Source organism: Homo sapiens, chromosome 17, assembly GCF_000001405.40.
Source record: "Homo sapiens chromosome 17, GRCh38.p14 Primary Assembly".
Taxonomy (NCBI): domain Eukaryota; kingdom Metazoa; phylum Chordata; class Mammalia; order Primates; family Hominidae; genus Homo; species Homo sapiens.
In genome coordinates, this window is record NC_000017.11 from 38,110,031 (window position 1) to 38,123,527 (window position 13,497).

The 13,497-nt window shown below is 37.6% G+C and overlaps 1 pseudogene across 1 annotated transcript in view; it reads left to right on the plus strand.

Moving 5' to 3' along the window:
• The window catches only part of LOC101929950 (puromycin-sensitive aminopeptidase-like protein), a 40,103-nt pseudogene extending 31,769 nt beyond the window's left edge, over window positions 1-8,334 (plus strand). Inside the window, exons 3-6 of the transcript NR_164156.1 lie at window positions 1,371-1,492; window positions 4,749-4,856; window positions 7,510-7,710; window positions 8,157-8,334. The product of NR_164156.1 is annotated as a puromycin-sensitive aminopeptidase-like protein (transcript). The remainder of the gene's footprint in view (window positions 1-1,370; window positions 1,493-4,748; window positions 4,857-7,509; window positions 7,711-8,156) is intronic.
• Window positions 8,335-13,497: the final 5,163 nt, after the last annotated feature.

Below are 13,497 nucleotides of genomic sequence, written 5' to 3' on the forward strand. Positions count from 1 at the left end.
AACATGGCAAACCCCTGTCTCTACTAAAAATGCAAAAATTAGCCAGGCGTGGTGGTGCCCGCCTGTAGTCCCAGCTACTCAGGAGGCTGAGGCACAATTGCTTGAACCCAGGAGGCGGAGGCTGCAGTGAGCCGAGATCACACCACTGTACTCCAGCCTGGGCAACAGAGTGAGCCTCTGTCTCAAAAAAAAAAAAGAGAGAAAGAGAAAGTCACAACATTTTGAACAATGTCAAATGTCATTGCTCTTTAGCGTTCCAAAATGACAATTTGAAACATTAGGATATAAAAGTTTGGTATGATTGGTTAATTACTTTATAGTCATGCCCTATCTTTGATTTGTTAGACTTCCCATGCTTTAAATCTTGATATACGTAGGGCCTTTAAAATGGTCAACTAAAAAGTCACCATTCCTCTACGTTTTTTCGTGACTTGATTTGTAAAACACAGAATGGGATTACTGTTTTGCCATGCATCTGTATTTAGCAGATGATTACTAGATAATAATTATAATTTTTTATGTTATAAAAAAGAAAGTATATAAACTCAAAAAAGCTCACTTTTTTGTCTAAATTGTTTTTGCTCTTATACAATAGAATACATATTTAAGTTGTATTTTTATTTGCATTTAATAATTTATTAATTAAATGTATTTCTTTGTCAGATTTCAAATGATTGAGGTGACTTGTAAGAATTTGTTTTATGCCCTGTTGCTGATCAAATCATTGGTCTTCCCTATAGCTCCTTACAAAATTATGCAATCAGTGTTCCATTTGGAGTAAACATTTAGTGTCTTATCTTGATAGAGTAATTGGCTACATTTCTCTTTCTATGCATGAAGTTGTGTAAAAGGACCAATTCACATGTATAATTGGCAGAGAGCATGAATTCTGGACTTAACATTTTATCCCATTCTCACTACTTACTAATTTTATGACACTGGACAAGTTATTTAGCTTCTCAGCCTCAGTTTCCTCATCTGAAAAAATGAGGACAATATCTACTTCCAGGTTTATAAATAGTTATATATATTTTAAAAGCACTGTGCACAATAGCACATATCAGGCATTTAAGAATAAATGTTTGTTTCCTTTCCTGTTCTTATTTTCACATATTGGTAGTTTGAGACTAAGTTAATAACTTTTTAGGCAGTCACCCTAAACATGACTTTCAAGAGTTATTTTAGGATTAGTCTGCCTTTTACTTTAGTAAGTACTGTATTCTCTCCATTGCCAGGAGGAATATTTGAAAAAGGAAGGAATGATTTGAACATTGTAAATAGCTAACTGAATATAGTGTCTTGAGGACATATTTTTGGTAACTGTGTTTAACATCTCCATAAAAGTGTTTTTTATTTATCTTCAATCACAGGTACAGGAACCTTAAAGATAGATTTTGTTGGAGAGCTGAATGACAAAATGAAAGGTTTCTATAGAAGTAAGTATACTACCCCTTCTGGAGAGGTGCGCTATGCTGCTGTAACACAGTTTGAGGTATGGGTTATTCTTCTCTAAAATATTATTATTCTTAAATTAGGCATTCTGACAAAGGTGTGTTTATTATGTGGGGTGATTATTTGAGGCTAGGTGCCCTTGGCCATGATTGTATTCACAATTTTAGAATTTTTATTTTATATTTAGCCATTATCTCTATAGAAAGGAGGGAATTAAGGGTATGGGTTGGGGAATGATTATATACAGTTATACACACAGACATTCAAACACACGACACATTTTGATACCTGAATTGCCTATATACTGTGTACCTTTCTTAAAATCATTCTCTTAGTATTTGACACCTATGGCTTTTCCTACAGTATTATTAGCTGTTTTCTAGAATTCCTTTCCTTCTTTGACATCTTTTGTTTATCTTACTGTAGTATCTGTGCTGTCTTTGATTTTTTTTCTCTCTCTCTGTGTGTGTGTGTGTGTGTGTGTGTGTGTGTGTGTGTGTATACATATATATATACACACATATATATATTTGCTGTCCTACGTAGGCCAGGATGATTTTTATTTGTCAGGTATTTGCAAATTATATAAATTGTTTTGAATCTGCTAGTCGTATTTTTAAGTGTTAAATCTAATTAAATTTATTTCTATAAATTTCAGTATGGATAAAGAAACAATTCATGATATCCATTCTTATGTTTCTGCCCATATCCCTATATTGTTTGCTTGTTTGGGATAACCTAAAATTTTTTATCCAGTTTACTACTAATTTGTTTTACCTGATGTATCTTCTCTTTCAATAATTTTATGTTACCTTCTGTTTAGAATAATATTTGCCACAGATATTTAGGTTTAATTCTGTGTTTGAATGATTCCAATGCCTTTCTCTACCCACTTTGAACACTTCATCCTGGAATGGTTGGCTGATGTATGTCTCTAAACAATTTTTTTTTTAGGAGAAGGTATGTGGGTAATGTAATTCCTAAACCTTTGCTTTTCTGAAAAATCTTTCATTTGCCTTTATACATGACCAGATTTACTGGGTATATAGATTTGTTGATGAAAAAAGGTAAAAAGAGCAACTTTTGACATCCAGAGGTTGTCTGGCACTCACAGCTAGCCCGTGTTATTCTCCCTATTAGACATAATATTACAGAATACCAACTTTAGACAAGGCTACTTGAGACCATAATAAAGTGAGACAAAACAAGGGATCCATAATTTTGCCTAGGTACAGTACATACAGGATCACTATGCTACCCGCAAAATATCAAACATCTCCATCTCTCAGTTAAAATGAGTGACTACTGCTTCTTTACCAATTACGGTTTTAGATTTGCTCTAGTCTGGCCTCCGTATAGATAAGATTTATTGAGATACATACCCATAGAATTGCCTCATAGGACTTCTTGCAGCACTCAATCTAGAGTGAATCCCTGTTTACTTAGACCCTCTTCCAAATCATGTAAACCAAATCCCAAATCGTATAGTGGGTTCTTTCTTACATTCTTATGGAGACACCAGTGGTTCCCTGTGGTGTGAGTTCTCTCTTGCCATGAGTAATAGGCCCAGCTCATTCAATTGTAAGAGTAGTACAATCAGCTTACAATTTTTCACTTTCAAAAGTCTGTGAATATTGTTTCCAAAGTCTTCTACATCTCACTTTTTCAAGAGGAGGGGTCACAGACTAAAATGTTTCTTCTTCCTTTGTAGGTAAGATGTTGTTTCGTTTTGCTTTATTTTCTTCCTGCTTGCTTGTTAAATTATATCTTGATATCGAAAATTAAACTGTTTTTTAAACCAGGTGTTCACTTTTCATTGATTTTTGCATAGTACTTGGTGAACCCTATTGATTTTTAGATTCAGGTAATTTTTCAGTGTGAAAGAGTTTTTCTGTTATATCTTCACTGTGATATCCATTCCATTCCCTTCTCAGTTAATACTCAGTTTAGCTCTAGTATCTGTCTCTCAAATTATGTTTAATTGCTTTTATCACTTTGTCCTTTAGATATTTTCAAACTTAAATCTTGTTATCTGTCATTAATTTCCTTTAGTATAAATTCATTTCTCTACTGCTGCTGCTTCTAATTTAAATGCTTCTGTGCTGCCATTTCTTTCCTTATACTCTCCCTTCTTTTCAGATGTCTTTTTTATTCATTGATAGAATTCATTATTTATTTAATGTTTTTGAGAATGTAGTCAGCCAAGTTTCTTCTACCTCTTTGGTTTGTTTGTTTGTTTGTTTGTTCGTTTGTTTGTTTGTTTTTTAGTCGGAGCCTTGCTCTGTCGCCCAGGCTGGAGTGCAGTGGTGCAATCTTGGCTCACTGCAACCTCCGCTTCCCAGGTTCGAGCCATTCTCCTGCCTCAGCCTCCCGAGTAGCTGGGATTACAGGCATGTGTCACCATGCCTGGCTTATTTTTGTATTTTTAGTAGAGACGGGGTTTCACCATGTTGACCAGGCTGGTCTCGAACTCCTGACCTCAGGTGATCCGCCCACCTCGGCCTCCCAAAGTGCTGGAATTACAAGCATGAGCCACTGCACCCAGTCTGTTGTTTCTTTTTATGATACAGTATCTTGTCATTGGTTCCATTTTATTTACTAAATAAATGGAAAATTCTGTTTACTGAAGTGTCTTTCCTTTATAACTGATACCCTGCAGAACCCCTAAGTTTTATTTTGCTTTCATAAGGTTGCTCTTTTTTAAATTTTTAATGAAAGAGTAAGGACTCAAGTAGGTCAAGTGGCGACAGTTTTATGTGTAGCATATGGAAGTGCCATTAAATGAATGACCTGTCTTGAATTGATAGAGCATCTGTCTTTATTCCCATTGCTGCCATTCCAGATAAAGAACAAAGCACATCAAAGATTGAGAATATTTTTATTTTTAATTCAAAAATAAAAGCCAGAGAGGCAACTTACCATGTTTTCCCAACTTTGAATTCTTATAGCATACTCTTTACTGTTCTGTGCTCTGTGTTGTGTTAACATTATTGATTTGAAGGCATTTGCATTAAATTTGAAATGTTAAAATGTAAACAAAAATTTAGTTGTAAATAATTATAATATATTGTTAAAATCCATAGCAGACACTGTTCCTGGATATTTGCTGGAATGGCAGTGGTAGCAAGTGTTGTCTTTTCTTTCTAGTTAATGCCTAGCTTGTTGCCTGGCACTGAAGAGAAAGTAAATATTTGAACAAGGGAATGAATGAATGACAGAGGGAAATGGCGACTGCTTTATGAAATAACTTGTTAGGTTAATTCTAAGGTATTTATATTTCATATTCTTTTCTTAAGGCTACTGATGCCCGAAGGGCTTTTCCTTGCTGGGATGAGCCTGCTATCAAAGCAACTTTTGATATCTCATTGGTTGTTCCTAAAGACAGAGTAGCTTTATCAAACATGGTATGTATGTGTTTATAAGTTTATCTAAAATTTTAATAGGCTTTAGCAGATTTAGTTTGCTGATTAGATGGGATAATATGAAACCACCTACCACAGTGCTGGTATATTATAGGAACATAAATAATAGTTTTCTTTATTTTCAATAAGCCTCTTTTTCTTTCTTTTTTTTTTTTTCTGTAGAGTTGGGGTCTCATTATGTTGCCCAGGCTGGTCTCAAACTCCTGGGGTCAATCTGTCTTCCTGCCTCAGCCTCCCAAAGTGCTGGGATTAGAGGCATGAGCCACCATGCCCAGCCAAGACCTCTTTTTCTTGATAGCTTTATTTTTGGAGGATTTTCTCCTTGTCAAATTCCTTGTTAAATACATTTATAAGATTATCTACTTCTTTTAATTTAGAGAGGTAAATTGACAAGTTTAATAGATTTATAGTAACTAAAAGCAAAAGTCTTGGGCTGGATATGGTGGCTTACACCTGTCATCCCAGCACTTTGGGAAGTCAAGGTAGGCAGATCGCTTGAGGTCAGGAGTTGAAGACCAGCCTGGCCAACATGGTGAAATCCTGTCCTTACTAAAAATACAAAAATTATCTGAGTGTGGTTGCACACACCTGTAGTCCCAGCTACTTGGGAGGCTGAGGTGGGAGGATCACTTGAACCCAGGAAGCGGAGGTTGTAGTGAGCTGAGATCACACCACTGCACTCCAGCCTGGGTGACAGAGCCAGACCCTATCTCAGAAAAAAAAAGAAAAAAAAAAGAAAAAGGTCTTGACTTATTAAATGTCATAAGAAAGCCAGGTACAGTGACTCTTGCTTGTAATCTCAGTGCTTTGGGAGGCTAAGGCAGGAGGATTGCTTGAGGCCAGGAGTTTGACACCAGTCTGGGCAACATAGTGAGACCTCATTTCTACAAAAGATTTAAAACTTAAAAGTTAGCCAGGTATGGTGGCAGGTGTCTGTAATCCTAACTACTTGGGAGGCTAATGTGGGAGGATCTCTCGAACTTAGGAGTTTGAGGCTACAGGGAGCCATGATTGCGCCACTGTATTCCAGCCTGGGTGACAGAACAAGACCCCATCTCTTAAAAAAAAAAAATAGGCCAGGCATGGTGGCTCATACCTGTAATCCCAGCACTTCAGGAGGCTGAGGCAGGTGGATCATTTGAGGCCAGGAGTTCGAGACCAGCCTGGCCAACATGGTGAAACCCCATCTCTACTAAAAATACAAAAATTAGCCAGATATGGTGGCAGGCACCTGTAACCCCAGCTACTTGGGAGGCTGAGGCAGGAGAATTGCTTGAACCTGGGAGGCGGAGGCTGCAGTGAGTTGAGATCGCGCCACTCCGCTCCAGCCTGGGTGACAGAGCAAGACTCCATCTCGGGGGGAAAAAAAAAAGGTTGCAACAGAGCAAGACCCTGTCTCTATCTTTTTAAAAAGTTAAAAAAATTCAAAAGATGTAGCTGCATAATGAAGTATATTTAGGTTTCTGGCTGTTTGTATTCTTGGAATGTATTCTCTTCACCAGTGTTATTGATCTCATTCATGAACAGGGTAAGCATTCCCCACTTGAAGTGTGTTGTCTAGGACTGTCTTGTGTGGGGAACTTGGAAAAACCTGCTGCACCTGAAAATAACTCTTTTATGTATTTACTGGGGGAGAGCATCCCATAAATAGAATGTCATTCTCTTCACACATATTCTTAGAAGAGGAGGCTAATACATTAAGCAGAAATATTCATTCACACTTTAGTATGAGTGAATTTATCAGTGTGTTCTTGAATAAGTCTTCCTTGGAAGGAAGAATAGAGAGAGCTTGAGGAAATGGAGCCTGAATAGGAAAAAGAGGGAGAACACCAAAGGAAATTAGGGACTCCAAAGGTAAAGTTGAAATTTCTTCACAAATAAGCTTAGAGCCAACTTTGGTAGAGAATGCCCTCGATCTAGAAGTTTGTATCCTTTGAAATGGGAGATTCTACAATTATATTATATTTTTTTTATTTATTTTTGAGAAGGAGTCTCGCTGTGTCGCCCAGGCTGGAGTGCAGTGGTGTGATCCCAGCTCACTGCAAGCTCCGCCTCCCTGGTTCACGCCATTCTCCTGCCTCAGCCTCCCAAGTAGCTGGGATTACAGGCACCCCCCACCATGCCTGGCTAATGTTTTGTATTTTTAGTAGAGACGGGGTTTCACCATGTTAGCCAGGATGGTCTTGATCTCCTGACCTTGTGATTCGCCCGCCTAAGCCTCCCAAAGTGCTGGGATTACAGGCGTGAGCCACCGCGCCTGGCCCCTATTTTATTTTTATTAATAGTCATTTTCTCCTAAACTTATGTCAGTTGAAAAGTATGAAGCCCTTACTTAAATCATCCCAATGCCTGGCTTATAATAAGTATTCGAGAAAAGTCCATTCCTCTTTTCTCTCACAGGTCCTTGGTAGTTTTAACACTTCAGCCTCCAGCTTCTTAGTATGAGTGTTTTATCAGACCACTTTCCTTCTTAAAGACAGCATAAAAGCACTGGATGAATTGGGGTAGAGAAATAAGCCATGCTAGAATAGAAAGGGGGAAAGAGATGCAATAAAGCCTACAGTTTTTGGCTGGTATTTGCTCTATGGTATTAATGTAAACCTATTTAAATTTTTCTTTTTTTTCTTTCTTAAAGAATGTAATTGACCGGAAACCATACCCTGATGATGAAAATTTAGTGGAAGTGAAGTTTGCCCGCACACCTGTTACATCTACATATCTGGTGGCATTTGTTGTGGGTGAATATGACTTTGTAGAAACAAGGTCAAAAGATGGTGTGTGTGTCTGTGTTTACACTCCTGTTGGCAAAGCAGAACAAGGAAAATTTGCATTAGAGGTAAATGTACTTGAAGAGGATTGTTCCAGCAGTCCATAACTCCAGGTTGGGGAATTTACATTTCTGGTCAATTATTAGTACAGTTATTTATAATTTAATCTGAAAGTTGTGCTACTTGGTTTATTTTTAATAGAATTTAGGAAATGCCAACCTTGGTGTTTCGTTATTTTACAAAATAATAATTAAGAGAATATAAGAGTGGAATTTCTCTAGGGAATGGGTTGGAAAATATGTAGTTATATTTTTCATATCAAGTTATAAATGGATTAAAGTTTGGCCATTGTATTCAAAGTTTGGAGCTAAGGCAGTCTTCGGAGGTAGGGCTCCCTGGGATTCATTTCTAGTAATTTAAGATACATTGGCTTGCAACAGGATTCCTTTGTGGGTTTCAATATGAATTATAATAACATATTTATTAGATGGTTATTTTGTTTATACTTTTATAGGTTGCTGCTAAAACCTTGCCTTTTTATAAGGACTACTTCAATGTTCCTTATCCTCTACCTAAAATTGATCTCATTGCTATTGCAGACTTTGCAGCTGGTAAAGTAAATTTCATTTTATTGCTGAATTGTAATAACTTTTTAAAATTTTGTGACTTTTGATGCAAGAGTATATATATATATATATATATATCTCAATAAATGTTTATATTTATTTTGTGAAGGTGCCATGGAGAACTGGGACCTTGTTACTTATAGGTATGTTAATGATGTATTACCCTGCCTTATCTTTTCAAATCACTGATTTCAAAAGGGCTTCCCTCCTAATCACAGTTGAGTAGCTTCTGCTTTACGATATGGTGTAAATTTTTCTACCTTCCCCCACTTCCATGCACATTTCAAGAATGCAGATGGACACCTCTCCCTTTGGTGCTACTGTCTGAGGGTGTAAGATTTTAAAGTGAGCATCTGGCGGTAGTAGCATTTTTAGATATATTCTTGGCTAAGTTTCTCATTGCAGTGCCTTTCTTTCCTGCCAGTAGTTTCACAGCTATTTATCCAGCTTGGAGAACCTTCCCTAATTTCATATCTTCTAGCCAAGTTTTTACATGTCTGTCACCACAACATAAACATGTGAGTTGAATAACTTTTAAAAGCAGAGTCTGTCTGTAAACAAGTTTTTGCCTTCTACTTTCAATTGCCTTCTTAGATGAGCTAAGTGTTGAACGGCCGGCTCAGTGCTGTTTTTGGGACTATGGAATGCATCTTCCTCCACCACTCCCCTCATTTAATGAAAGGACTTTCTTCTCTCTCCATCTAGCACAGTAATCGCTAATCCCTTAGACAATGTTTTCCCAAAATTTCAGGCAGCTATTCTATCAACAAACTGATAATTAAACTTGTGTCACATCTTTGATATTCTGTTGTATTAATTCTGTTGGGGTAGTCTTTAATCTTCGTGAAACTTTTTCTTTCCATATTAGGAAATATTTTCCTAATATCTCTAAAGCCTAACTTGTCCATCTGACTTACTGTCTGAATCTTCCCAACTTATGCATGCCCACTTTTATTGTTTAAATTTGTTTCTCTTTTTTTTTTTTTAAACATAGGGAGACTGCATTGCTTATTGATCCAAAAAATTCCTGTTCTTCATCCCGCCAGTGGGTTGCTCTGGTTGTGGGACATGAACTTGCCCATCAATGGTTTGGAAATCTTGTTACTATGGTATTTAATATTTTTAAGTGCTCAAATATATTTATCTTCATCCTACTCCACATTATTTTGGCTACATAGTATTTCAAGTTTGGCTGCAACACTGTGCCAAAAAATAATTGAGTGATAGAAAAGTATTATTTTAAAAGGTCCACTTTGAAAGGGCTTATCAGAATCTCTGCATTGAACAAGGGCATATGGACAGTCTTTATTCAACAGACACTTCCTAAACTGTTCTAAAATTTGTCTGCAAATGGGAAAAGTCAAGATACTAATTTGGGTGAGAGGAAAAGATTCCTCTTAGGTGTAGATGAATGAATCATGCAGTGAGATTCCAGGCTAACTGTAGTTTCTTGAATCTTATTTGTTAATCTGACTCACAGCTGAAAAGTAACCTGATGAATAACAGACTGATCTTTAATTAGAGAGAAATGTTTTTAGGAGTCAGTTTTTTCATTGCCTAAAATGTTAAGTTGAAATTTAATGAAATAAAAGTAAACAAACTGCAGAGTGACTGCAGAATAAAGCTGTATTAAAATTCCAGCTGTTCTGTTGAAATCCTTATAATGTTTGCAGTAATGATCTCTGTCCTTCAGTCCTGATTTTTCACTCTTACTCTAAGTAAATACTATTTATGAATGCCAACTGTGTTAGAGCTTGGGAGCACAGGATTTAATAAGTGAACTAGATGTACCTCTGCAATTAAATAACTGGATATTCTGGAGCCAGCTAGATTCCCTGACATTTTAGGCTGCCAAAGAGCAGAACCTGATTTGAATGTAGATTGAGTCCATACGTTATATAAATAAGAATGTAAGACATTTATCAACTGTTACGTGTCTCAGAGAGTTTCTACAGAAAGTCAACCCTTGAAAATAAATCTTTTCCTTTTATTTTGGATGTTTAAAATTTTACAGGTGAAAAAAATTCTTTGAAATATAATTTCAGGCCGGGCACGGTAGCTCACGCCAGTAATCCCAGCACTTTGGGAGGCCGAGGCGGGTGGATCACTTGAGGTCACGTGTTTGAGACCACCCTGACCAATGTTGCGAAACTCCATCTCCACTAAAAAAAAAATAGAAAATTAGCTGGGCGTGGTGGTATGCACCTGTAATCCTAGCTACTCTGGAGGTTGAGGCAGAAGAATCGCTTGAACCTGGGAGGCAGAGGTTGCAGTGAGCCGAGATCACGCCACTGCACTCCAGCCTGGGCAACAAGAGCGAAACTCCATCTCAAAAAAAAAAAAAAAAAGAAATATAATTTCATGTGGAACTATGTGTTGGTGCCTGTATTCAAATATGTGAAGAAATGGCCTTTTCTTCTAATGCAGCGAGTTTGCTACTTTGTACCAAATAATTTTTTTGCTTGGCTTTGAGATAACTTTATGATTTTATTTTGAAACTACAAGCAATAAATTTTAGTAGGGGAAATGTGTACATTCTTATTAAACAACTTTTTACTGGTTTTATGTAACTATTCTAGTTATTAGAACTGAAATTCCAAGGGCTTAGGGATAGGTTGGAAAATAAGTTTCATTTTATGCTAGTTTATTTTAGGAAGCTACTAGGCAAATAGCCACTTATCACTTAATATCAAAATAATTTTTTTTTAAGACAGAGTCTCACTCTGTCAGTTAAACTGGAGTGCAATGGCACAATCATGGTTCATTACAGTCTTGACCTCTGGGCTCAAGCAATCCTCCTGTCTCTGCCTCCTGAGTAGCTGCAATTACAGGTGTGTGGCACCATGCCCAGCTTATTTTTGCACTTTTTGTAGAGACAAGGTTTCACTGTATTGCCTTTTGTAGAGACAGGGTTTCACTTTGTTGCCTAAACTGGTCTCAAACTCCTGGGCTCAAGCAATCCTCCCACCTCAGCCTCCCAAAGTGCTGGGATTACAGGCATGAGCTACCACACCTGGCCTTTTCTGGGGGGACTGGTTGGGGATGGAGAATAGGATCTCACTTTGTTACCCAAGCCGGAGTGCAGTGGCACAATCATGGGTCAGTGCAGCTTCATCTTCCTGGGCTTATGTAATCCTCTTGCCTCAGCCTCCCAAGTAGCTGGGACCACAGGTGTGTGTCACCATGACCAGCTAATTTTTTTTTACTTTTTAATTTTTTTAGAGATGGAGTCTCACTGTGTTACCCAGGCTTATCTCAAACTCCTGGGCTCAAGTGATCTTCCTGCCTTGACCTCCCAGAGTATTGGCATTACAGGAGCAAGCCATTGTGCCTGGCCTGCTTTCTTTCACTAATAGGCTTAATCAACTTTAATAAAATTTAGATTAAGATCTTTAAAATTTTTTAAAAACTGATTTTATCTGTCACTCATATTCTTTGTCCATTCCATTTACTATGCATTCTTATTTAACAGGTGATAATTTCATATTCCATAAGTGCTTAAACACCATTCATTACTGAACTACATTTTTGTTTAATTTCACATAATTTTTATATAAGCAGTACTCTTTCTCAGTTTCTCTTGAACATTCAACTCATTAGTGAGTGGTTTTCCCCAGTCATTTCCATTTTTCTTTATTTGGCTCTGATAGTTTTCTGTTTTTGTTTTTCAGAGATAATCCTTTACTATACTAAATTCTACGTGATTATATTTTCCACCTCTATTTGCCTATATTTATCTGCTGTCTTTTCCTTTTCCATATATGGGCTTATTTTTTTTTTCCCTCTTCTTCCTTTTCTACCTTTGGTATTTAAAAAGTTACTTAGGACTGAGTGCACTGGCTTACGTGTGTAATCCCAGCACTTTGGCAGGCTGAGGCGGGAGGATTGCTTGAGCCCCGGTGTTCAAGGCTGCAGTGAGCTACGATGGTGCCCCTGCCACTCCAGCCTGGGCAACAGAATGAGACCCTGTCTGGGTTTGGGGGAGAAGTTATTTACAATGTTTTGAAAATATCCTTTGGCCCAGGCATGGTGGCTCACACCTGTAATCCCAGCACTTTGGGAGGCCGAGGCAGGTGGATCACTTGAGGTCAGAAGTTTGAGACCAGCCTGGCCAACATGGCAAAACCCCATCTCTACTAAAAATACAAAAATTAGCCAGGCATAGTGATACATGCCTGTAATCCCAGCTACTGGTGAACACTCCAGCCTGGTGACAAAACAAGACTTTGTCTCAAAAAAAAAAAAAAAAAAAAAAAAAAAGAAAGGAAAAGAAAATGACCCTCAGATATAATTCTAATATCACCAGTTGGCCTTTCTTGACATCTCTTTTAGTCTTCTCTCTTTTTCAGAAATGTGAGTTCTTTGCGAAATGTTTTGAACTGAATTTTAGGTCATTAAATTGTGAGTTTTGGAATATAGTGGAAGGGACATGTGAGTGTTTTAGATTAGTAGAATGACAATCATTTCAATTTCTTTAAGTATTTTCATCTTCTGTTTTTAGGAATGGTGGACTCATCTTTGGTTAAATGAAGGTTTTGCATCCTGGATTGAATATCTGTGTGTAGACCACTGCTTCCCAGAGTATGATATTTGGACTCAGTTTGTTTCTGCTGATTACACCCGTGCCCAGGAGCTTGACGCCTTAGATAACAGCCATCCTATTGAAGTGAGCCATACTTTCTAACCATTAGCCTATGACTGCTCTCATTTACAATGAAATACGTAATTTGTTACATAGATACTTTGGACTTTGAAAAGAAGAGAAAATAGCATGGGTGATTTTACTGGTTCATATTTCTAGTCTTGAAAAGCTAGTAAGTCTAAGTTCTAATTAAACATTTCTTTTAAAGGTAGGCAGTAAAAAAAAATTGGTCTGGCCAGGCGCAGTGGCTTACGCCTGTAATCCTAGCATTTTGGGAGGCTGAGGCGGGTGGATCACCTGAGGTCGGGAGTTTGAGACCAGCCTGACCAACATGGAGAAACCCCGTCTTTACTAAAAATACAAAATTAGCTGGGCACGGTGGCGCATGCCTGTAATCCCAGCTACTCGGGAGGCTGAGGCAGGAGAATCACTTGAACCTGGGAGGCAGAGGTTGCGGTGAGCCGAGATCGTGCCATTGCACTCCAGCCTGGGCAACAAGAGCAAAAAACTCTGCCAAAAAAAAGAAAAAGAGTAGTATGGGAGAAGTCATACCTATTGGGTAACACTATGGTTCCATTGTTTATGTC